Source organism: Homo sapiens, chromosome 12 (genome assembly GCF_000001405.40).
Source record: "Homo sapiens chromosome 12, GRCh38.p14 Primary Assembly".
In the NCBI taxonomy this organism is placed as follows: Eukaryota; Metazoa; Chordata; class Mammalia; order Primates; family Hominidae; genus Homo; species Homo sapiens.
In genome coordinates this window covers 69,558,339-69,585,058 of record NC_000012.12, presented here as the reverse complement: position 1 = coordinate 69,585,058, position 26,720 = coordinate 69,558,339, and the positions used below count along the sequence as shown (strand labels likewise).

Here is a 26,720-nt window from a genome sequence, read left to right as displayed (position 1 = left end):
CTATGTTAATTTTAAACATTATTTACTGAGTATTACAGAAGAAGACTTCCTTTTCTCTTACTGAATTTTCAGACGTTATTTCTAACTGGACGTTGACTGCCCAGGATAAGGTCTTGTGAACTGAGAGAGACATTTATAGTATTTTATCTTTGCCCTATTTACTCATTTTCAGGAATTTTTGCATTTCGGTCTTTTTTTTTTTTTTCCTCCAATAGTAGAGACGACTTATTAGTCTTTGTTTATAATAAACTGAAATATTTGGGACTGATCTTGATGTCTGCCAAAACCTTGGCAGACATCAAGATCAGTCCCAAATATTTCAGTTTATTATAGACAGTTTTCTACTTTCTCTAAGTTGACGGATGTCTAAAAATTTGTTCTCTAAAAAATTTTTCTGTCATCTACTGATACCCTCTTTTCTCCCTTTGACTAACTGATCGCTTAAGCTCCTCGGCAGGGCGCGGTGGCTCACCCCTGTAATCCCAGCACTTTGGGAGGCCGAGGTGGGCGGATCACCTGAGGTCAGGAGTTGGAGACCAGCCTGGCCAACATGGTGAAACCCTGTCTCTACTGAAAATACAAAAATTAGCCGGGCGTGGTGTGCATGCCCGTAATCCCAGCTACTCAGGAGGCTGAGGCAGGATAATTGCTTGAACCCGGGAGGCAGAGGTTTCAGTGAGCCGAGATCACGCCGCTGCACTCCAGCCTGGGCAACAGAGCGAGACTCTGTCTCAAAACAAAAACAAAACAAAACAAGCTCCTGGATTTTTCTTTTTCTGTTTTGTTTTTTTTAGAGATGGGGTCTTCTATGTTGCCCAGGCTGGCCTGGAACTCCTGGGCTCAAGCAATCTTCCTGCCTTGGTCTCCTGAGTAGCTGGGGTCTCCTGGATTTTTGACATTGCTAACATTAACAGGAATTTTCAATTTTTTAGTTGTTTCTACCCTTCAGATTTCCTCTAAGTGGGTTGATTTCCACCAGGGGTTGGCAAGCTGTGAGGAGTCAAACCCAGCCTGCCAGTTGTTTTTTGTATGGCCTGAGAGCTAAGAATAGTTTTTACATTTTTAAGTGGTTGAAAGAAATCAAAAATTTCCTGACACATGAAAATCCTGTGAAATTAATATTTCAGTGTCCATAAAGCTTCATTGGAATCCATGGGCATACCCATACATATTTACTCTGTCACAATACGATAGCAGAGTTATGTGGCAGAGTTGAGTAGTCATGACAGGTTGAATGGGCCCACAAAACCTAAAACATGTATTATCTAATTCTTTACAGAAAAAGTTTGCTGACCCTGGTTTACAGTATTCCTCAGGTCCAACATGAAAAGGGGAGTTCAGGCTGGACAAATTGTTATTTTAAATCTCCCAAGAGTTTTCTCTTCTTTGTAGGAAAATTTGGTCTTCTTTCAGGAAATGTACTTTCCTAGGCAGATCCCAAATCGCATTCTGGAATGAGAAGATTCACAATAAAAAACTAAGATGCCTGCACAATATTGAAAAAGGTTGTTTTTATTGTGGGCAAAATTACATACCTGGAGATATTTATTATGTCCTCTGGTAGGCAAGCCTGAGACTGTGTGTGATGGGGAAACCAATGACTGCTCCCTGCTGGGCTTTGAATGTAGCCAGAGGCATTTGGATGGGGAGAAGGAGGCAGGCCCTGCCACCTTGTGGAACTGAGGCTAGAGGCAGCCAGGAAGAGACTCTATGATGGGACCCTTGGAAATGTGTCCTTTCTCCATTGCATCTTTTGACCCTTCCTTCTTTCCTACTTCCCCCTCCTTTGATGACACCTCTACACCTAGAGGCTAAACACTCAGCTTCTAGACCCAGACTATATGAGTTTGAATTTCAACCATTTTACGTACTAGCTTTGTAGTCTTGGGTGGGTTTCACAGGCTCTTTAAATCAGTTCATTGAAGGCCATTCAGAGCGTGATCAATGTGCTGGTTTACCAAAAACTGTCTCTTTTAGCTGTTTATACTTTTTTGTTGTTGTTGTTGTTGTTGAAACAGAGTTTCACTCTGTCGCTCGGGCTGGAGTGCAGTGGTATGATCTCAACTCACTGCAACCTCCGCCTCCCGGGTTCAAGCAATTCTCCTGCCTCAGCCTCCCAAATAGCTGGGACTACAGGCATGCACCACCACAGCTGGCTAATTTTTGTATTTTTAGTAGAGACAGGGTTTAACCATGTTGGCCAGGGTGGTCTCGAACTTCTGACCTCAAGCAATCTGCCCACCTCAGTCTCCCAAAGTGCTGGGATTACAGGCATGAGCCACCACACCTATATATATATTTTTTAATTGAGACAGGGTCTTACTCTGTCACCCAGGCAGGAGTGCAGTGGTGTGATCTCCACTCACTGCAACCTCTGCCTCCTGACTTCAAGCGATCCTCCGACCTGTCTCCCGAGTAGCTGGAAATACAGGCATGCGCCACCACACCAGCTAATTTTTTGTATTTTTGGTGGAGACGGGATTTTGCCATGTTTCTCAGGCTGGTCTTGAACTCCTGAATTCATGCGATCTGCCCACCTTGGCCTCCCAAAGTGCTGGAATTACAGGCAGAAGCCACTGTGCCCATCTATTTATACATTTTATCGTAATTTGTATTAGATAGGTTACAGGGCCTATGGAGATAGTGAGACCTTGGGAATCCATGTTTCTGTGATTAAACACGTTGTGTGACTTTCTCCTGGCTCATCTTCTGTCCTCTACTCTCAAGTCCCTTGGTCTTGGCTTCTCTTAGTTAACCCTTCCTCCTCCCTCAAAGTCTTTGTGACCCTCTCCTCTCTATGACCCTGTGTCCTCCTCTCTCTTCCCCTTGGTATAATTTGGCTTTCAGTGAATTGGCTTTTTGTTAACTGGTCAGCTTCCAGTTATATAATCTCTCTGTGCCTCAATTTCCCTTTGTGTAAAATGGAGATAATTATCACAGATTAAATAGCTTAGAACAGTGCCTGTTTAGCTTAGCTATTGTTATCATTATATCCCAAGTCTTCTAATAGGCTTTATAAATATAGTAGCCGAGGTTGGATATGCTTGGCATGTTATGGAAGTAGGAAAGCACTGTAGCATATCATTATTTGATGGCTAGAGGTGATTTGGGAGCAAGGGTAGATTCATTAACTGGAGTGAAATAACTGGCGAAGTGGCAAACAACCACCAGAACAGAGTTATGGGACTTGTCAACATTCCTCAGGAACAGTTAGAATACCTGGGGAAGGAAACCAAATAAAGGACCAGGAGTCCACAGTCACATTAAGTTGGGTCCACCCAGACACCTACTGTTTGGGTAGTAGGGAGAAGGTTAGAAGACTTGATATTTCTCCTGTTGCAGACCGTGATAGTTTGTACACAGGAATCAGTCTGTGGAGCACACTTAGAGGAGCACTTTAAAAAAAAAAAAAACAGGGTCTCATTATGTTGCCCAGGCTGGACCACAGTGGCAGGATCACAGTTCATTGCAGCCTCAACCTCCCAGGCTTAATCTATCCTCCTGCCTCAGTCTCTTGAGTAGCTGGGACTACAAGCACACACCACCACGCCAGTTGATTTTTGTATTTTTTCATAGAAACAGGTTTTCACCATGTTGCCCAGGCTGGTCTCAAACTTCTGGGCTGAAGTGATCCACCCTCCACAGCCTCCCAAAGTGCTGGGATTACGGGCATGAGCCACCATGCCCAGCCCCCAAATATATCTTAAATCTCAATGAACTGACACCATCAACCATCTCAGTCACCCAAACCAGATAACTGGGGGTCATCCTTGACCCCTCCATTTCTGTCATTCCCCTTATCAATCAGAGGTGTTAATTCTTCCTCCTTTAGGCCCTCTATTACATTGGTGGCCCTGAATAAACTACACTTTTGATGTTCATGCTTTTATATGAGCCACTGTAATTCAACAAAATACAACAGAATTGACATTGTGCCAGTTCTGGGCTTAGGCCTCAAGAAAGCCTAGCAGCATCTACTTTTGTGCTCTTGGGAACCCTAAGCTGCCATGTAAGAAGACCACATGAAGAAAGACCCAAGACTTCATGGAAGAAAACTAAGGAACACAGCTGAGAGCTTTAAGTTCCAGACATAACCTAGTGGAACTGGTCCAGCCAGCCCTCAGCTGCTTGAATCATACTAGCATAGGCACAAAGCATATGAGGAAGCCAGGCCTCCAGACATCATGTGAGATGAGCCATCTCTGCTGTGCCCTGCCCATCTCGATCTATAGCAACTTGAGACATTAAATGATTGCTGCTTTAAGCCACTAACTTTTAGGGTGGTTTGTTGCACAGCAGTAAACAATCTAAACAGTCCTTTAACAATGCCTTTGAATACGGATTTATCAGATCTGGCTCCATTTCTGAAAAAGCCTCTCAACCAGTCTCCCTGCTTTATTAAAATACCGTAGGGCCAGCTACTTGGGAGGCAGAGCCAGGAGAATGGCATGAACCTGGGAGGGGGAGCTTGCAGTGAGCCGAGATGGCGCCACTGCACTCCATCCAGCCTGGGCAACAGGGAGAGACTCCGTCTCAAAAAAAAAAAAAAAAAAAAAAAAAAAAATACTGCGCCCTTCACGTATCCATGTTGTCAGAGAAATCTTTCTAAACTATTATTTTTCTGGTGTTTAAAATCCTTCAAGTTCTCTCACCTAATTTAAACAAAAGCTCCTTAGGATTCTGTGATCTGTTTCTCATTTCTCCTTTCTTCTGTATCCCCCAACCCTGCCTTTGCTCTCCATGCGCTTAGTCATTTGGAACCTCTTGCAACCACTGAATGTCATGATCTTTCTATACCTCTGTGCCTTTGCACATGCTATCCCTTCTCCCTAAGACATCCTCTCTAAGCTACAAAGACTTTCAACAAACCACCTCAGGGATCACCCCCTCTAAGAAGCTTTGCTTGAAAACCTCCACCCCTAGGCTGAGTTGGATGCCCTTCCTTTGTGTGTGTCTTTATCATGCCAGTTACATCAATCACTTGTGGACATGTCCATCTCCTTCATTGTTTAAATAATTTCCATCTTGACCTGTACTCAACTAAGGCTTTGCAATGTCACTCAGTGGCTAAAAACAGGTTTGAAGTCCCAGAGCTGAGAACTACTATTTGGAATGATCACACAGCTAAAACTGTGAGAAAGCCTGTCATATAGTTACAATTTCATTTTGATATCTTCATTTTGAAAATGGAGGCAGTGATATGAGACTAGGAAAGAAAATGTCACAAAGTTTCAAGTAGTATGTGAAATATAAATACAATAAAACTTTTAAGTAGATATCCGACCAAACGTTTTATTGGGGTTTTATTGCAATCTACTTTCAGCAATAAGGGGAAAGTGAGCATGAAAAGAACTCCAATCAGACTTTATTCAATAAAGCAGCTTTTCATGAATGCTTCAGGTCAGTGTATGATCAGCTCAGCTTCCAGTATCAACTTGAGTACCTCATTATGGATATTTATGCTAGAATGACAACAGTAAGGCATTGCAAAATCCAAAGTCATCTAATATTAAACCATATTTTACATAATTTGTAGGACAGTATACTAATACTCTACAATAAATAAGGATTTAAAAATGTGTTGCTTAGCCCTTGAACTAAATTCAATTACTAGCTTATTCTAAGTACTCCAGTTAATAAACGTTTGATTGTAAAGAACTCTGACTTCTCCAAAGATAAAAAAAATTAGTTGTCATGACAAAAATTAAGCTTAAAAAGCACATTCACACTTGTCCTTAAAAGCAAGTTTACATCATATATGAGAAAACTTTTCATGCCTGATGACATGGCTTATATGGCAAAAAACAGTCATATGCAAAGGACAACTAGAGGGCAATCGTCCCATCCCCACTTCCTCCAAAAAGCCACACTCGGCCTCAGTGTAAAAGTTATATTTTATTGCCATGCTACAAAATGTATGAAGTTGGCACTGATAGGGAGAAATAGAGAACAAAGGGTGGGAAGGGATAGAGGGAAAATTATGTTGTTACATATACAACAAGGTTTTATTTTAATTAACAGTGGTTACGTTTTGCCAATATTAAAAATGCAAACCAAAATTTAAAATGCTGATCTGAAACAGCATTAAGATACAATGTATGCATAGTACAGTATCACTTATGTCTTTTTATTAGAGAAATATGGAATGTTTATAAAAGAAATTAACCATGGGGGTAAAATTCATATTTCATATACAATTTGGCAATGGTAGTCCCACTGTTGGACAATTTTTTATAAAAGAAAAAATTAAAAATCTAATAAGCTACCTTTATACAAAGTTGCTATATTTATGCCTTTACGTAGGAAAAAAACATTTATAATGCAAATTAGGACATACAATAGTCTTACAATATTATACAATGTAATGAAAATAAAACATAACACAAAGTTTGTCCTTTATAAAATGTATATTTTGCATTACTAATGCAAATGTGGCACACTGGTGACTACTGTACTACTTATACCAGTCTGTTTCCATGCTATAACTGTCCAATTGCCATAGAACTGCAATTATAATGATGCTACAAAAGAACTGTGTTATACCAAAAATGAGGAAGTAGGGATGGGGAACAGGGATGTAAAGAACAGGAAAGATAGATAGGGTGCTGGTTTGGGCAGAGTATACTGTGGTACGTCATAAAATATGTTAATTTTTCAAGCCAAAAACATTTTCTTTACATTCTGTAATTTCGTACCAATGCCTTTATTCAAATTTGGCAAACATCAAGGAAAAGGTAATTAGTACCATATACCTCACACATCAGAAATATGAATGAGATGCCAATACATCAGTTACTTGTGAATGATGTCTCTGATGGTATGTCTATTTCAAGAATATATGTATTTATACACACACACTACACATTGCACAAAACATTTGGGCATTATAGGTTAGGAATAGCACGGGGGAATTGGGAAGTACTTTTTCATCTGTTAAAACCTTTACCTTGAGGCAAAAATATGGCGGCACATTGTTGGGAAATTATGAAAACATAAGGCCCCTGTCCCATTTTTAATAGAACATTATTGAGGTACATTTTTATATGCTGTGCCACAGTTTTGGGGAGGGGGAGGAGATAAACACTAGCTTGACTTGTTCTATTTATAACATTGAACGCTGGAGAGGGTCAACATTAGTATCTATAAAAACAAAGATTGCTTGGCAAATTTTCCTAAGTCCCAGATATGATGTATTCTGGATATACTGAGAAGTGAAAAGCTTTTTGCTGAATCTTAAAGAGTAAAGTGCATATCTCATCACTCCACAGCAGCAGTAAATAAAAGGAAATATTTGCCAGTCTTCCTGGAGGGAGGGAAGGCACCATATTTTCATTTTTAGAAGAAGATGAAACTGGGAAATAAAACACACTAAGAAAAAACACAAGTAATACCAATATCAGTTTCCAACCCTAGCATGGGATAGATGCTGTTATGATTTGTATGGATAAAACAGTATTCTATTTGGAGGGAAAACATTAACAATGATTATATTTCCAAAACCAAAAAGAAGGATCACATGGTCTACCAACAGAATTATCTAAAATTAGATCTGCCTCAGAAAATCTGAGATATATGGCCACAATTATATGCTAATAAAATATCAATATTTCATTCTAAAATGCACCTAGTAATAGGTACATCCTTCGAGGACACAGCTTAATGCCCATTACTAAACTACTGCAAAGGACAAGTAGTATTCTAAATTACCTTTTATTAAATAGGAACACAAGTGATTTCTAGAAAATATCTAGAAATTAACACCAGTTGTATATATTTTCCTAATACTCTTATAGTACCTAAAATCAAATTCTTAGCAGACAAATTGGTCCCATTTTCCTTTTTAAAGCACATAGTATTTAAAGCATAAACTGTAATGATTATATTGGAGTTATCTAAAAAAAATAAAAACTAATTAGAATCCGGGGGAAACAATGAAAAGGATGACGGAAAGAAAGAATAAAGTACCCAACCTCCAAAATGAATAAATAGATCAGCCCTTGCATTTGGAGATTAATGTTCTGCCTTGACTGGCTGTTTCAGAAAAAAATGTGCAATGGTTCCATCATAATTCTTATTCCACATTACAAAAACTATTACATAAATTTGGCACAATTAGCAATTTACTCAGAAGAAAGGATAAGTGGAACAATATATTAAAAATGGAACCTGCATCATGGAAACTGCACACCTATACCACTGCTCTCTTTTAAGAGAACAGTGAGCACTTTAATAAGCACCAAGTTCACAGGGGAACAAAAGGGAGAAAAGAAAATTCTGCTATGCACATAGAATGATAAAATACACTGATATTGATTTATAGTAAAGACACTAAAAATGGCACTAAAACGATAAAGACACCTTTAATAATTTATTTTCTTTATAATGATCCCACTCTATTGTTCTCCTAATCCATCATTGTCCTATGATTCGGTTACTGAATAGGTTGGATGCCAATATGACTAAAACTTTTTCATGCTAAATTAACCTTAGTTATATCTGGTAGATCCAGATCATAATCTCAAACTTCCTCATATTTAGAGAAAATAGTAAAATATTTTGCAAGGTTACCTAACCTTTTCCACTCTACCTTCTCTCGTATTCTCTAGTGTTTAGGAAATTGGAACATCTTTGATTTTCCAAGAGTTTGACATATGGAGACTCTTCAGTTTATATAAACTTTAATTCATTTTAAATCCTAAATTATGATACAATCTCACTGCTACAAGACTTCCACTGTACCTGCTATGCTGGCAACAATATTAATATTTCATGGAAATCGAAGGATAATCAAAGATCCAGCTACAAGTAAAAGGACAGCAGAGCTGAGGAACACTAGAGTGGGCAGAGTACAACTGCAGCGTGTAGCTGGGGGAATTACTGCTAAAGTGCTGGGGAAGAGTGCCCACAGAGACAACACGGTACACCTTGAGGGAACTTTGCATGTTAAAAGTAGCTTCCTTTTTTTCTCAGTTTGCTAAAGAGATCACCTATGGACACAAGCAAATTTAGAATTGGAGAATGTTTTTATCAACTTGAAAAGTAAACAGCTTATAAATAAATACTGGACAAGGGCAACCCTGTTACAGACTAACAGTAAGTTCCAAATGAACCTTCAAAACCATAATTTGACAAAAATGCAAACTAAACAACAATGAACACATAATCCAATTTCAAAACTATATACAAACTCAAACATTTTAAATTGAAAAGGACATAAGGCAACAAAATAAGACATCCCAAACACCAAAGAAAAAAACTGAAGATAAATGGAAACCTAATGGCACAAATGCCTCCAGAAAACAATGTGTTGTCAACAATCTATAGGAGAAAAACTTTCAGGAGATTGTGGTTCAGATTTTCAAATGTTTTTGGGTAAAGTGACCTGAGACTGATTCTTGAGCCTATTATAATTTTAAGATATCTGGACATGCCCTTCAAATGACATCATGAGATGAGTAAATAGAAAATCTTGTCTCCTTCCTGCCTTTCAGTGCACCAACAGCAAAGCACACTCATGGACACAGGCCGCTTTCTAGTAACACTGAAGGCAAAGGAGCTGACTGGTGTAAGAGGAGGTGCGGTACTTCTGTTTCCTTTACATATGTTTTGGCTCAAGTCAAAAAGCCATTAATTAATGAAATAAAGGATTCCTCATGTTACATGCTGGAGGCCACATACTGTGAACACTGAATCTACGAGCATTACTTTCAAAGCCTATAGTTACCTGTTAGCAATGTACATTGTCAAGAGGCTTTATAAAAAGTTTTAAAAGCCAACCATGACTTAGACATGAAAGGTATGCGTTAAGTCCAGAATATTGATAAAAATCAACCAGCATGTCATTTACTTCAACTCTCATTTTAAATAGGCACTGTGAAAACGGGAATGCTGCTGTACAACGAGTAGTATATAATGAAATTAGTGTTCTTTAAGGAGTACCTGCTCTACATTAATTCCCTTTAGTTAAAGATGCACATGAAATATTCAGAAAAAAATTTTATCAGTCTATAAAAGGAGTTAGTGTTTAGAAATGAAAATGAAGCACTTGCATCTTCATTTTTAAAAACTTCACAAAGGTGCAAACAACACAATGCTTTCCAGGCTCACATGGGCAGATCAGTACTATTGTGTCTAGTTTTCCTAGATGTACCATCATCTCGTGGCAGTGCTTTCTGCAAATTTGACATAGCAGCAGTTCTCTCGATGTCTATCACGGCATACAGCTCTGTGCGCCTGGTAGGGGTTTGTGGAAGGGGAGTTGTAGGCGTTTTTGGAGTCTGAGGGTTGTCAGAGTCACTGCCACCTTCCAAGTCAACCTGTATGTAATTAAGCTGCCTGTGTTCTAAACTTGGGCGTCTGATATCAAAGTTAAAGACTGTTGGTGTACAGTCCCGACGCCTTGAATATTCTATTTTGTGAGCACTTGCTGGCACTGTTACATTCTCTGTATTTACATAGTTATGCATTGGATCTAGATTATTATGGTAGCCATTTAGAGATGGGGTCTTTGGTCCTAAATTGTCATCTTCATCCCTACTTAGCTTGCGGGCTTCCCAAACAGGAGGCAAAGATGGTAGATTTTCATAGTTTAATAATGCAGTTCTTCTCTGAGCTGAGTTGTTGATATTCTGGGTATCTGAGGTACTGGTGGATGTCAGACGACCTCTCCTGACCCCTGAGGCACTAGGGATAGATAGCCCATTTATATTTTCATACACCAGTTTGTTAACAGAGGGTGCATCTCTTCGTTCATCACTGTCATAGCCAGTGTCCCATTCTGTGTTATTTGCTCCACTTCCACTAACTTGATCTCTTCCAAGTTGCTCCAGTTTCTCTTTTTCCATTAACTGCTTTTGAACAGGGGTTGGCCCTAAAACAAATTTGACTCCTTCAGGTTCAAGAAGAATCTGAGGATCCCTGTCCTCAATACTACTTGGTTCTTCTTTTGGTGTGCTGCTTTCAGCGTTAGAAACCCTCGCCTCCAATGGAACATGCACACTTGTGCGGTTTTTCCGCTCTTCTTGCACACCTGTAGTGTTGACATAGGTATGTACCTAAAACAAAACAGAAAGTGAATTAGTTAACTTACTTAAAAAAACAAAACTGAAAAAAAGCCTGACCACATCAGTTAATTTTATTGACAACAGTTAACTGTATTAACTTTCTCTCCAAATGTACTCTTACTTCAAAACTTTTGCACCTGTTTTTTTATTAATAAAAAGGTGGAAAGAGAAGGAGAAATGTAGAAATGTCTTCCTAATTTGATAAAAGAATAACGACTTCAAAATAACACGCAGGCTGGGCGCAGTGGCCCATGCCTGTAATCCCAGCACTCTGGGACACTGAAGCGGGTGGATCACTTGAGGGTAGGAGTTCGAGACCATCCTGGCCAACATGGTGAAACCCCGTCCCTACTAAAAATACAAAAATTAGCTGGGCATGGTGGTGAGCGCCTGTAATCCTAGCTACTCTGGAGGCTGAGGCACATGAATCATTTGAACCCGGGAGGCAGAGGTTGCAGTGAGCCGAGATTACACCATTACATTATCAGCCTGGGCAACAGAGTGAGGCTCCATCTCAAAAAATAAAATAAAATAACATGCAACATTATATTTGATTGTTAAACATGATAAATATTATGTAAAAAATAAAAATCAGGAACAAAATAGGGATTATCATTTTGCTGCTGTTTTAGAGGTTCTCAAAGCATTAAAACATGATCCAGAAATAAATAACGACTTTGAAAAGAGATAAGTTTATCCTTATTTACTGATGATCTGAATGTATAAGAAGATTAACTCCACTAGATTTAATAAGAGTTCTGTAAAATGCATATATATAAAATAAATGCCACCAAGTAAGAAATTATCACTATTTAGAAAAGCTTAATAGTATTTTGGGGAGATAATATAAAAATATTTACAAGGGTCGGGCACAGTGGCTCACGCCTGTAATCCCAACACTTTGGGAGGCCGGGGCAGGCAGATCACTTGAGGTCAGGAGTTCAAAACCAGCCTGGCCAACATGGTGAAACCCGGTCTCTACTAAAAATATGAAACAATTAGCTGGATGTGGTGGCCTGCGCCTGTAATCCCAGCTACCTGGGAGGCTGAGGCAGGAGAGCTGCTTGAACCCGGGAGGTGGAGGTTGCAGTGAGCTGAGATCATGCCACTGCACTCCAGCCTGGGCGACAGACCAAGACTCATGTAATTACAGTAAATAATATAACAACTCATTATGTAAAGAACACAAAGAAACTGATTTTAAAAACACTAAAAACTTTTTAATGTGACATATGGTTTACAAAACATAAGTATAACTAATTAATACAGAGGTTCCAACCAGATACTTCATTCCACACATGAAAACTAGCATACTCGGGAACACTAAATAACTCCATAACATTAACAGCAAAATCTACCTTCCTACTCGTAGTTCACTGACTATAATGGCTAAAATATGAAAAGCAGCATAAACTCTTAATCCATTGGACATTCTTATAATGGGAACTGACCATTAGTTATGCCTTTCTTAATCTATAGATGTACCTCTTCTGTGAACCCACAAGCTACTGTAATGGTAAGTTCCCCTGAATACCCGCATATATTTGAGCATAAACCAGCAAATATATGCTATCTCCTCTGATTGTTCACTACAAAAGTAATTTACAAACAGATAAAGTTAAACTTCAAGCTGAATAAAATCTTCCAGTATTAGCACAGTGATACCCTAACTCTGAACAATCATTATTGCTGTTACACAGTAGCACATGCTTACTTGTTCCTCAGCCACAAGCAAAGGATGTGTAGATTCTTCCCCTACTGAAGGCAGGCGAGCACTTCCCACAGAAGGATGTCTGCTTGACGGATGGGATGAAGCATCTCCAAATGAGGGATATCGGGGATATCCATTAGGTAAGTTCTGAGCAGCAAATCCTGGAGCTGAGTTTTTGTTTATTGGTTTAAGGAAAAGGGGGGCGGGGCAGAGAGAATAAAAATGAGTAAGAATCGAATCTGTACTGAGGATTATAGGAGGTCTTTCTGCCAAGACAGCAGAAATCAGAGCACAAATAGTATTACCCCCAACTCCATATTTTACCTAATATGAAATACTGAATGTTTTCATTTTTTAAATATTTGAAGTACTTAGAACTACGGCTGTGTTTTTTTGTTCTGTTTTGTTTTGTTTTGTTTTTGAGACGGAGTCTTGCTATGTCGCCCAGGCTGGAATGCAGTGGCATGATCTCAGTTCACTGCAAGCTCCACCTCCCGGGTTCATGCTATTCTCCTGCCTCAGCCTCCCGAGTAGCTGGGATTACAGGTGCCCACCACCACGCCCGGCTAATTTTTTTGTATTTTTTTAGTAGAGATGGAGGTTCACAGTGTTAGCCAAGATGGTCTCGATCTCCTGACCTAGTGATCTGCCCGCCTCAGCCTCCCAAAGTGCTGGGATTACAGGCGTGAGCCACTGCGCCCGGCCTACAGCTGTTTTTAAAAACTGACAACCATTATACTTCTGTTATCCAGTGGTGATTTCTAGTGTGTTATTGATTAAATACCCACAATCTATAGCTTACAACTAAACGTCTGTTATTCAAAATGTGAAAGGGAAAAGGGGTACTTACTTGTAGGTGTTCGAGGTGTTCTAGGGACTTCCAATTCTGTCTGATGATTATTTCTTTCTACAACTGGCTCTTCCACCACATTTATACTATTATTTTGCATAATCTCTTGCAACATGTTAAATAATTCTTCTGCACGGGCACACTTAAAGGCAAAGATTCCTACAAATATAAACCAAAAGGGAAAAATAGTTAACATACCTTTAAAAAAAACTATAGGAACACTTGACAAACAGCAGAATTGTAAAGTAAGCATTCTACGCACCGAGTCAGAAATCCCTTTTAAATAAATATCTGATAAATTAATGATTATTCTCTGTTTCAAAACAAACCCCCGCCAAAAGTTCACAGAATAATTTTCATTCATCTAAGGGAGATGGCCCAAAATAAAGCTAATGAAATCAAGACCTGCGCACTTACGCTAGTCTGTTTCTTAACAGCAGGGGGAGCCCAACTCACTATTCCAAGGTGATCATTTGCCATGTAACAGGCCCCTTGGAAAGTCCCTAGGTGTTTTCCAATTGTTATCTTGTTTAATTATTACAATAATTAAAAGATAGGTATTACCATTTCCCTTTTATAGAGAAGAAATTTAACATTCAATGGAAGTCCTGTAACTTGTCAAGGCCATTCAAGTAGTAGGTAGTAAAAAAATCAATGATAAAGACACTTAGTCAATTTAGCTGACCCAATCATTTACTGAAAAATCTTAAAGTTGACATGAGCCAAAATTTCTCACATAGACAATGTGCTTAATAAACAGTTGATAAATTAATACACAGTATACTATATCTTTCCTTAACAATCTGTTTATTTTGGGATTTTTTTCAGAAGAAAAATATTAATTTAATCTTTGTATACAGAATAGCTGAAAAAACAATTTCAAATACAATATTTGGGAAAAAAAACAAAGGTTCTACCTTGTCCAGTTTGACACCTTCGACCACTTTCAAAAGAAAAGAGATTCGAGTCATAGCCATAGCGTCGCAGGCAGAGGTAGTGCCATTTTACTGAGTCACGTTTGCGGGTGTATAAAATCAGTTCTGTGTCTGTAAGTTCCATTATGCCAGAACCTAACTCATTCCCATCATCATCCACATTAATGACCTAAAAAAAGAAGGTGACAGTCATGCAAATATGTCACCAATTCGTCAGGAAAATGCATTGTTGCTAATTAGTTATTTGTAATTTGTTAGTTCATTCATCAACCAATGTGTGTATCAGGCATGGACTACGTAGCCGTGTAACACCCAGTTCAGATCTGTAAGAAATTTACATTCCCACTGGGGAAACAAAATGTAGAAACACAAAGTCAATACCACAAAAGTGTATGATTAATTGACAAAGGAATGCAACAGAGGCTGCAGAAGGCAGGAAGTGTGGTCTAAGGTTGTTGAGACACCTTCATTTAAGAGGAGGAGGGCCTTTAGCTGGACCGCTAGTATAAATAAATTTACGCAGAAAATAAAATCAGAGGGGAAATCTAGTGGGTCAGGAGATAAAGGGACATCATAAAGACACAATGTTAAAGCAGAACAAAAAAAGTACCTTTCAAAGACACCAAAATAGATTGGCACAGAGTTCATATGAGGAAAGGCTTTGTACTGCTGAGCTTCAGAAAACATCCAAAGACTAAGAGCAGTAGGTAACATTTAGGGAGAAGTTACTATTCCCCTGGGAGTAGGAAAAGAGCTTTACATGTATTTAACCCTCATAACAATCCTAGACTACACTGTACAAAAATGGAATTAAGACTCAGTAATAACGTAACCTGCCCAAGGTCACAAAGCTTATAAAGTGACAGACTTACACCTAGGTTTGTGTGATCAAGGCTATTCTTTGTAACAGATCGAGGTCAAATTATCAGACACAAAACAGCTATAGCAGCATTTAGCCTACAGGTAAAATAACACCACACAATTTTAGCAAAGAGGTTAGTGAATGATGAGAGAAGAAGATTAATTTGATGGTGACTACAGGATGAATCAGAGGGTGACTTGAGGTAGAGTCCAGTTAAGAAATCACACAGGCACACATGAAAATAATAACTGAAAGACAGATAGTGATGAGATTGAAAAGGCACCCCGTAAAATGGCATTTTAAAAACAGTATTACCAGAACGGTATGGCTAATTAGATACAGAGGACCGAAGGAAAACTAAAAAAAATTCCATACTGTAAGAAAATGTTGTCATCATTTATTAAATCAAGAAAGACAGGGTGGAAAGAAAGGGAAATAGAAAGGTTTGGTGATAAAAGCCAGAAATAAGATATGTTAAGTGAAATAAAAGAAGAACACCCAACTAGGCAGTAAGATATATAACTCAACCAGTTTTACTGACCTTAAACTTGTTCCGATGGTTATCTGGGACAGTGTCTTTATCTGGACAGCTACAACAGCTACCCATGGCTTCTTCAGAAGACCATGTGTGCACTACATGAAAAATAATTTGGAAAAATTTATTAGATGAAGGATACAAAAACTGTAAACAGAAAAAGACTTTAGAAATCATCTAACACAAACATTATTCTGATGCAGAAAATTAAGTCCAACAAGGTATATGGCTGCAGCTAGATTTTATACAACTAGCTAGTTGATTTTACTCAGTAATAATGAGAATAAATTTTGTGAGGCATTAATAATGTCAAACAAATCTCAAATTTCTAGTTAAATTTGCAAAGGTCACCTATTCTAAAATCATCTAAAAAAAAAACCAACTTAAGGTCTCATATATAATATTACCTAAATAATTAATTTTTGTTCAAGAGTTAATAATGAAATTAACCCTTTGTGGCTTATCAGGAATTTCATGTCCTTCTTTAAAGAGAGAGAGAGAGACAGAGAGGGACAGAGAGAGAGAGACAGAGAGAGAGAGAGAGAGACAGCCAGAGACACAGAGACAGGCAGGCAGGCAGGCAGGCAGGCAGACATTATGTTGCCCAAGGCTGGGCTCAAACTCCTGGGCTCAAGTGATCCTCCTGCCTCAGCCTCCTGAGTAGCTGGGACTACAGGACTACCAGACCTGGCTTGTTCTTTAAATAAAAAATCACCAAAGGGATGGTGAACTTCTGGCTTGGCAGGTATTTTGACTGTTGTTACTCATTGTAGTATCTTTTATGTCTCCACAAGACAAGAGTTCATTGGTAATTAAAACAAAATCAAATTTCGAATAGCGCATTGGTAAGAGAGAAAGACAACTCAAAATTAAGCAGTAAAGTAACACACAGAATACTGGCAAAACTGATATAGCATGTCTATTTAATACTCCTTTCCCATAGAAGGTTAGAGGTAAGTGGTTATATACCTGACATTGAGTGTTTAAGAACACTCCAACTGAGCAGACAAAGAAAACTCCAAAGCATCACTTACAAACAAGGGAAATAATCAGATAGAATATGACAATATATGAAAAAGGAGGAGGGAAGGAAGCACAGAAGCTACAAAACATTACAAACATAAATTTGATTGAAGCTTGTTGAAAATTATTCAGTGGCTCTCCACTATCTTCAGTTTAACAGTATAAACTCTTCAGTATGATAGATCCGATCAGATACAATGTAATCCCTGTCTAACAGATCCAGTCTAGACTCTCCCTGCTTTCTGTTTCAAGCCCTATTCTTAGTCCTGTCAGAATAAACAAGCTGCAGTTTCCCCAGAGCATCCTGGTCTCTCACATCCTTCCAAGCTGCTCCCTTTCTGCTTCTTTCCTTTCTCAAGATTCAACTCAAAGTGCAGTTCCTCTAGGATGCTTTCCCTGACTCCAAGCAACTAGGCAAGTTATACTATTATGTATGACCGTCATGCATATGCTAACCCAAAGCACCCTGGGCTTCCTAGTATCATAGCATCTATCACACTTTGTACTGAGTAGAAATTGTGGCAGGTATCTGTTTATCTGTCTTTTCTCCTCCATTGTGAGCCCCTTGTCAGCAAGGATGAACCTTACTCATTTTTACATTCCTAGTACCTAACACGATACCTAGCATACAGAAGGTGCTATAGGACCTGTGATTTAAATGGACTGTATTAAACAAATGTGAAGGATCCCTAGCAGGTATAAGTATTAAGAAAATGAAAAAGTGTACTAGCGTATAAACCAAGAGTGTATATGATAACATATAATAGTAAAGTTAATTAAGACTCATGATATTTGGTATTTTTGCTTTAACTAATATGCCAGCTAAGTATCATAGTACAAGGACACATAAGTCACCATCTTTGTCTTTGAAGAGCTGTGAGTATCAAGGGGGAGAGAGAGAAAGAGAGAGAGAGAGATGTAAATAGATAATGCACTGCGATAAACCTTATATTAGGATATGAGCAGAGTACTGTGGGCACATGAAAGGGAACAACTAACTTTCTGGGTTAGGCAGGACAGGAAGCACTAATTGAGCTGGGATTTAAAAGAAGAGCAGAAACAACATGCTAAGCAAAATAAAGAGAAATAAGCACCTGAGACAGACAAAAGTCATGAAGTGTCACACCACATTCAGGAGAAAGTGAGGCGTTCAGTATGACTGGACTACAGGGTAGACTGGAAGACAAATGGGGCCCAACCATAAAGCAGCCTGAACAAGCTAGGGACATGTTCCCTAGATTTGAGACTTGATCTTCCAGTTAACTCGAAGATAGCCTGCCTCTAGTGTTCCCACAATAGAATGGCATAACTCTATTGTGGCCTTTATCGTACTCTACTGCAATGTTTATCTTTCTGCACCATCCACTTTGCTGTGATCTCTTTAAAGACAGGAAATCTTGTCTTGTTCATTTTCCAGGGCACTAAGCATACCAACTTACATGGCACATATTCTTTTTTTTTTTAAATCCCCCAAGACGGAATTTCGCTCTTGTTGCTCAGGCTGGAGTGCTATGGCGTGATCTCGGCTCACTGCAATATCCGCCCCCCAGGTTCAAGAGATTCTCCTGCCTCAGACATGGCACATATTCTATAAACATTTAATTTTTTAAAAAATAGTAAATGTTTAATATTAATAAATTATAGGATGAGTAATATAAGAAATTTTAAGTAAAGGGATAATTGATAGAGACATTTTTTAAAAGTCTTCTTGAAAGTACATATTTGTTCTCCCCGACCTCCTTGTGAAATATGAAGAGCTAAAAGATTACTACAGTATGGCTTTTGCTTCAAAAGATGATGCTCCAAAGGAATGTTTTTAAACTTTTTTTTTTCTCAAAAGGAGCAGGAAAATCATCCTTCCACTTGGCATCTTCATAAGCTACCTGTTAAGGTAGAACCTCTCGTGCTGGCAGGGATATACAGTCATGAGCCACATAACAAATGTTTGGTTGGCAACAGACTACATATATGACAGTGGTTCCCTGAGATTACAAGGGAGCTGAAAAATTCCTGTCAGCTACTGACACTATAGCTATCACAGCATCACAGTGCAACACATTATTCATGTGTTTGAGATAATGCTGGTATAAAAAAAAACCTACTGCACTGCCAGTGTATAAAACTATAGCACATTCAATTATGTATAGTACGTAATACTTGATAATGATAAATGACTATGTAATTGGTTTATGTATTTACTATACTATGTATCTTACTATTATATCAGAGTATACTCCTTCTACTTATTAAAAAAAAAATTAACTGTAAAACAGCCTCAGGCAAGTCCTTCAGGAGGTATTCCAGAAGAAGGTGCAGTTTTCCTAGATGACAGCTCCATGTTATTGCCCCTGAAGACTTTCCAGTGGGACAACATGTAGGAGGAGAAGACCGTGATATGGATGATTTTCACCCTGTATAGGCCCATGCTAATGTGTGTGTTTGTGTCTTTGTCTTAGTTTTTAACAGAAGTTTTAAAGGTTAAAAAAAAATTAAAAATTTTAAAAACAGAAAAAAATCTTAAAGGATATAAAAAAATACTTCTGTACTGCTGTAGAATGTGTGTGTTTTAAGCTAAATATTATAAGAGAGTCAAAAAGTTTCAAAAAATTAAAAGGTTATAAAGTAAAAAAGTTATAGTAAGCTAATTTATTACTGAAGAAAAAATTATTTAAACAAACAGCGTAGCCTAAGAGTACAGTTTTATAAAGCCTACAGTAGTGTACGATAACATTCTAGGCCTTCACATTCACTCACCACCCACTAACCAACTCACCCAAGAGCAACTTCCAGTTCTGTAACCTCCATCCACGGCAAGTGCCTTATACAAGTGTACCATTTTTTCTCTTTTATAGTTTTCTTACTGTACCTTTTCTATGTTTAGAAATGCAGATACTTACCATTGTGTTACAACTGCCTATAGTATTCAGTACAGTGATGTTGCTCAGATTTGTTGAGTAGGAGCTATAGGCTATACCATATATCCTAGGTGTATAGTAGGCTATACCATTTAGGTTTGTGTAAGTACACTCTATGACGTTTGCGCAGTGACGAAACTGTCTAATGACACATTTCTCAGAAGGAATCTCCACCATTAAGTGATATATGAGTGGCAGTGCAACCTACTTGGGGACTCTATCCACACTGAATGTTTGAGTTCAATACAACAATAATTAATGAAATGCCTAATATGTGATATGAAAGCCTTGTATGCCATGCCAAAGAGAAAGGAATTTATCCTACACATGATGGAAAACCACTGATGTATTTTAAGTAGAAAAGTGAGACGGTCAGAAGTGCATTTTAAATAAACATATGTATGATAAATTTAAGTAGGAGTTTAGCTCAGAGGAAAGAAAATCAGTTTGAGATTATTAAAAAATGAAATATGATAAAAACCTAAAACAAGAGCAGCAATGGTAGGAATGAAGAAGAAAAGAATAAATTTAAGGAACATTTAAGAGGAAAAGTCAGTGGCACCAAAGAACTGACTTGACATAATGGAAAACAGAGGCAGTTTCCAGCATGGCAGACAAAGGGTGCCAGGGGTCTATTACCTGAGATACAAAAAACTGTAGTCTTCAAGAGGAAGTGATAATGATTTGTTCAGATATGTTAAACTGAGAGCCCAGGGAAATGTCCAAGTGCAATAGTTAAGTACATAAGTATGTGTTTGAGGGAGAAGGTAAAACATTAGAACACATGTCACATTTTAAGCTCTTGAACACTGGCTCAAGGATAGTATGAAGACTGGTCTGTGGTTGAAATTCTGGGGAAATACAAATGTGTTTAAATACAGGAGTAGAGAGAAGCCAGTGAAGGAATTAAAAAAAAAAAAAGATCAGAATAGTACAAACTAAGAAAAGTAAGCATCAAGCAGGAGGGCACCATCCATGGCAGAGACAGATGCCAAACTACAATGAGCAAGTGGAAGATAAAGAGGTAACCCCTAGAGGATGGAAACTGGTCTTTGAAGAACTGGTTGAGAAAATAAAGAATAGAGAGGGCTACGGTGTGAATATATTCAAAAGAGAATACATTACTTGAGTTACGTATTTTAAGATGACATAGATTTATGCAGGCTTATAATCAGTAGGTCAAGAAAGTTTAAAAACATAGGAAAAACAAAGAAAAGAGAAGGGCTAATTGATGGATCAAGACAGAGGGGGATAGTAGAGATGAGTTCCAGGGCCCAGATTGAGAGGTTTACCCAGAGAAGGAGGAATGCTTCATTCTCTGAGGAGAGAGGAAAGACATAAGGGTGGGTCGAATATAGAAAAGAGGCTGAAGTAGGTAATATTTATCACCCTGCATTTCCTTTGTAAAAGAGAACGCAAGGCTTGTAGAATGAGGGACTTGAGAATGGCAGGATTAGTCACCAAGGAGCTACCCAAGAAAAGAGAGCAGGATTATTAAGTAGGCTGAGATGAGAACTCAGCAGAGGCTGCAGAGGCAAGATTATGCTGTTTTGCTAGCAGTGCTCAGCAGTCCACAGGATAGACAGTTCAACTGACCCACGGTCAGAGGGTAAGAGGGCAAGGATACTAAAGTATGTTGGCAATACAGGGGTTTGAAGTGACAGATCATGACATCCAGTCAGGAAAGAAGTAAAGAAAGAAGAGAGCTAACAAAATACAAAATGGGGCAAAACCCCAAAACAAAACAAAAAAACAGGTGGCCTCAGTAAGGCTAAAGAACAGGCTTAGCATGAGTGAGGGATAGACACAGCTGGAACATGGGCAGTTGTGGCCAATCTTCCAATTCCTGAAAGGAAACTTCTTTAATGTGAAGTTTTCATCCACATATCTGATTCTTTCTCCTAAACCACAAACTCTGAGGCAAGGGAAAAGGCTAGATACTAGATATTCTGCATTTATGACCACCAGATTAATATTTGAAGACTACATCTGAGCTATGTGACACCTAATAATATGCATTAATATTGTAAACACTTGAGGAACAACCATGTGATCTCATTTGCATACACTCCTCCAGGTTTGTAACTCAGCAAAAACACAAATGATTTTATTATGCTCACTCAAGACAGCAACATACAAAAGTAAGTAGGGTACATTTAAGAACAAAAGGTAGGCCGGGTGTGGTGGCTCACACCTGTAATCCCAGCACTTTGGGAGGCTGTCGTGGGAGGACTGCTTAATTAAGCCCAGGAGTTCAAGACCAGCCTGGGCAACACAGTGAGACTCTGTCTCCACAAAAAATAGAAAATTAGCTGGGCACAGTGGCACACACCTGTAGTCCCAGCTACTTGGGAGGTTGAGGTGGGAGGATCACTTAAACCCAGGTGGTCGAGGCTGCAGTGAGCTATGATATGCCACTGCACTCCAAGCCTGGACGACAAAGCAAGGCTCTGTCTCAAAAAATAAAATAAAATTAAAATTAAATTAAATTAAAAATACAAATAAAATAAAAGGTAGCTTTTGTTTGGGAAGAGCAATGCTATAACAAGTTTGCTGAATACTTTAAATTAGTAAACATGTCTTAGTTAATTAAAGCCATTTATCTTCATCCTTTGGGAGCAGGGGGGTGGTGTCAGCAATCAGGAAGAAAAATGGTTGCAGTTCAAGAAAACATTATTAAATTCTCTCATTAAAAAATTATAGGCCAGGAGTGGTGGCTCACGCCTGTAATCCTAACACTTTGGGAAGCTGAGGTGGAGAATCGCTTGAGCTCAAGAGTTAGAAACCGCCTGGGCAACATAACAGGACTTCATCTGTATTTAAAATAAAAATAAAAAATAATTGTAAATGTAGGCTTAGTGATGTAAAACATAAATAAACTTCAACTTACCTAGATCTGGCCATTAATATTCTTAGCCTCTGCTGCAGCATCAGGAGTTTAATCATATTTCAAAATACCATGTTTTCTTTGTTTGCTGATTTAACCTAAAAACAGAAGAAAAACATTGAGAATTTCTCATTTCTAAAGAATAATATTCCTTATGAGCTTTCTGGCAGCACAGTTAGTTCAGTTAATCTATTTAAACAAACTCAAAAGTCTAAAAGATTGAATAAAAAGTATTTAACATATAACATCAATTTTAAAAAGTAATATAATATGCACATGTTATCATTCTTTTTCAGAAGAAAAAGTAAAAATGTGATAGTCTAAGTTCTATGATGTTTCTGGCTTCTCTACTACAGCGATAATACTTGCACAACTCACTTCTCTATACTTATCTCCATAGCTGTAAAATGAGGGGTTAGATTAAACCACCTCTAAGGTTCCATTCCACCTCTAAAAACCCATTTTGGCCAGTAGCAGACTAATTCTCCATCCCCAGTGACATTTCCTAAACCTCACTCACCATAATTCCTCTTGAAGAGCTGACTGTCTTCAAAATCCATCCCCCATATCTTCCTATTCCACAAGACCCCTCCAAAACCAGTTCAGAAAAATCAGTAAATCAGAAAATCAACAGTATGAACAAGCATGCCACAGAATCACAGAACAGTGACATTACAGTGATAAATTACAGTCCAGAGTTACAAGAGATTTCAATGTATTTTTGAAAAATTTCTGGTCAATTTATTTACCCTTCACAGCACAAAAAAACTCAAACTCACTCAAACAGGGACACTAAAATTTACTGAAAACCTACTCTGTACCAGGCATTTTATTAGGGGTTATGGGAATAGTCTCATTTTAATCTACATATTAACTAGAGAATATGATTGATAGCCAAAATGAACATTTCCAAAACCATGTACCCACAGTCAACAATTTCAACTCTGAACTTCAAATGCAACAATTTCAACTCTGAACTTCAATTTTATATATAAAATCAGCATGCCAGGTGTTGGCTTACACTCCTTGTGAGATGCTGCTACATCTCACTTTAAGGTGGGTGGCAATCCTGTCCCTCTTCTTTATTAACCCTTTCTTTTCTCCAGGAGCTCAAATATACGCCATGCTTTATCTCTGGCTTGGAAAACTGCCCAGGGCTGAACTAATTCTACCATAAACCACTTCTTTTAGGTGAATATATACTCTCTTTGCCCGACTCTTTTAAAATGTATTCTAGGGGACTTTGGCCAATTAAGTCAGAAATATCTCTATTCCTCTCATTCTTCATTCCACTTATAAGCATTCTGCAACCCTTATCCTGCAATGAATTTAATGACTGCACATAAAATTAAGAGAAATGATAGTGATCTACCTATTAACTATCAATGAAAAGTCATAAGCTTTGAAATGAAGTTAAACATATTAAAGAATCAGTGTACCAACTCATTAAGCTCTTAAAAACATTATATATAACTGCATTGACTATGATACTTAGTAAAAAAGAAAACAATTTTACCAAGAGGCTAAAAATTACACTAAATGCTGTCTACCACCACCCTATTTTTCTATAGCAAACTAATTTACCTTACTGTATGCCACACATAGAGTCATTTGGATTATCTCATTTAATCCAAACAACCAATCAGGTACATACTACCATTATTTCTGTGTTCCAAATAAGGAAACCAAGGCTTAAAAGGGTTAGGTAGCTTTCCCAAGGTCAAGAACTTATCAGAAGGGCTAGACTTAAATTTTGATCTGACACCAAAGCCCAATCACTTATGAATTAATACACGCAAAAATCTTAAAACAGTGTTTAACATATAGTAAGCACTAGTACATGTTAGCTGTGAAAACAACAATACTTTGTTATTTTACAATGCTGCATGCCTTTGACCGTCAGTCAACCTTTCTGTGCCTACATTCCCTCATTTGTAAGATTAGGACACCCACTTCACAGAGCTACTATGAAAACCAAAAAAAACTCTGGATATAAAGATATTTCGAAAATTAATAGCATTTTAAAAGACAAGGCATTATTATATCACCATTACAGGTAAAATTCTGTCTCTTATTTCACAAAGAACACGTTTGCACTGTAAGCACAGAAAATCTAGAACTTAAGCACATCCTTATAACAAGTATTACATTAATAAATTTAGTAAAGCTGTCCTAAATTATTCCAAATATGATTCTTGCAGAATGACATGGAAAGAGAACACTGAACTCTATTCACAAGTATGATTATAAATTTGGTGCTTAGGAAGGTATATGTGCTCTTTTGGTTCACTAGCAATGAGGGGGAATTTGGCTTATACTACAGTAATTTTGTTCAAATACAACCAGGAAAGAATGTCTATAGTTAGAAGCATAGCAACATAACTAAATTTTGGGCACAGAAAACTGCCATGTTTTATTATATTAAAACAATCAAGAGGATGGCATTCAAAAACTGTGTTGTGTCCACGGTCTGGTTGTTTTTTTTTTTTTAAACCATTGGGTAGGTCTTTTAATATACACATTAATTTCCTGTTAATTCTTAACACTGACAAAGATTTCTGAATTATTTATATTATTCTGAAAAAGAAGAGTTAAGAAAAAAAGCTAAGGAGGGGAGATTCTCAGTACAGTCTGCTAGTTGCCTTAAATCAGAGCCATTATGTCAAAAGCAAGGACATCTGCAACAGTTCCCTTGTTAGGTGAAAATTTAAAGCACACACCTATACACAAAACTACAAAGGTACGTGACTATTTTTAAGCATCCATCCATGAATATGGTTGTATTTGCACATTCCTAAACAGATCTTTCTTTAGTTTTTTTTTAATCTGAGGGCAATGTTGATGAACTGCTTCATAATTCATAACCCTCCACTCACCCCCTCTTTTTAACTCTTGAAAAAAATCAATTACATTACTTACAAATCACTTCAATATCTGGTACCTTAATTTCTGGCAATTATATCTAATCAAAATTCCCTGAACTGCAGTTTAAACCAGATTCCTCTCATTTCTCTATAAAACATAAGTAAAACCAGTATGATCAAGAAAGATTAAGCATATGCTTATGTATATTTAAACTGTCATCAATTCACTTTTCTGTGGATAAATCTAAAATATTAATAAAGTGGCATTTCTTTTAAGATGGGTCTATGTTGCCCGGGCTGGTCTCGAACTTCTGGGCTCAAGCAATCCTCCCACTTCAGCCTCCCAAAGTGCTGGGATTACAGGTGTGAGCCACTTTGCCCAGCCTAAAGTGGCATTTCTTTATTTCAGGCATAGTTGCTTGAATTAAGCTAACAAAAGGTTACTTAGTAGATAAAAATGATTTTTAAGCAACTATCAACATTAAAGAGAAAATTAAACAATGAATTAATTCATTTCCCTATCCATACACTGAGGCATTCTACCACGTATTTTCTGAGCACCTATTCTGTGTGTCAGGCACTGAGTTAAGTGCTAGAAATAAAGATAAAGGACACATTCCCTGACTCCAAGGAGCTTACTGTCTAGTGGGAGAGACAGACAAGAAAATGAGTATGTGGCAGAACTGCAGACCCATGTGCTGGTGCTATCAAAACATTCAATACAGAACAGAAGGAAAGACAGAAATAGCATCAAAAAAGTCTCCCTGGGAAAGCTGGTCCCTATACTGAGTCCTGAAAGGTGGATGGGAGTTAGCTAGGGCAGGGGCAATCCAGATTAAGAAGAAAGCATGCAAAACCCCCCAAACCTAAAACAACACGGCCTCCTCCAGGAGAACCAGGTAGTTCCTTAGAGCTGGAATGTAGGGTGTTCATGGGAAAATATTAGGAGATAGGTAGGAAAGAAGGCACATGGCCATTTCACCAAGGGTCAGTTCGTACTACTGAGGGTAATTCACATTTCCCCTTAAAATCTTACATAAACCACTAATGTCCTACCAGAATACTTTCCCATGGA

The 26,720-nt window shown here is 38.0% G+C and overlaps 1 protein-coding gene and 2 non-coding genes across 19 annotated transcripts in view; 1 reads left to right on the top strand and 2 right to left on the bottom strand.

The window, feature by feature from the left end:
* The first annotated feature begins 235 nt into the window (after positions 1 to 235).
* Positions 236 to 337, top strand: MIR3913-1 (microRNA 3913-1). The gene has a single exon (NR_037475.1). It is a non-coding gene; the product is annotated as a microRNA 3913-1 (primary transcript).
* MIR3913-2 (microRNA 3913-2) lies at positions 237 to 336 on the bottom strand. The gene has a single exon (NR_037476.1). It is a non-coding gene; the product is annotated as a microRNA 3913-2 (primary transcript).
* A 4,928-nt stretch (positions 338 to 5,265) lies between the features above and the next one.
* Positions 5,266 to 26,720, bottom strand: part of FRS2 (fibroblast growth factor receptor substrate 2) — a 109,406-nt gene continuing 87,951 nt past the window's right edge. For 16 of the 17 annotated variants that reach the window (NM_001042555.3, XM_017018718.2, NM_001278355.2 and 13 more), the window contains 6 exons: positions 22,785 to 22,879; positions 15,963 to 16,054; positions 14,542 to 14,728; positions 13,625 to 13,783; positions 12,778 to 12,941; positions 5,266 to 11,054 (listed from right to left, as the gene is read on the bottom strand). In NM_001042555.3, coding sequence (NP_001036020.1) covers positions 10,104 to 11,054; positions 12,778 to 12,941; positions 13,625 to 13,783; positions 14,542 to 14,728; positions 15,963 to 16,028 — 1,527 coding nt within the window. In that variant the 5' untranslated portion in view covers positions 16,029 to 16,054; positions 22,785 to 22,879 and the 3' untranslated portion in view covers positions 5,266 to 10,103. Of the gene's footprint in view, positions 11,055 to 12,777; positions 12,942 to 13,624; positions 13,784 to 14,541; positions 14,729 to 15,962; positions 16,055 to 18,418; positions 20,802 to 22,784; positions 22,880 to 26,720 lie in introns of those variants that run through there. The other variant, XM_017018719.2, reaches the window with a different exon arrangement.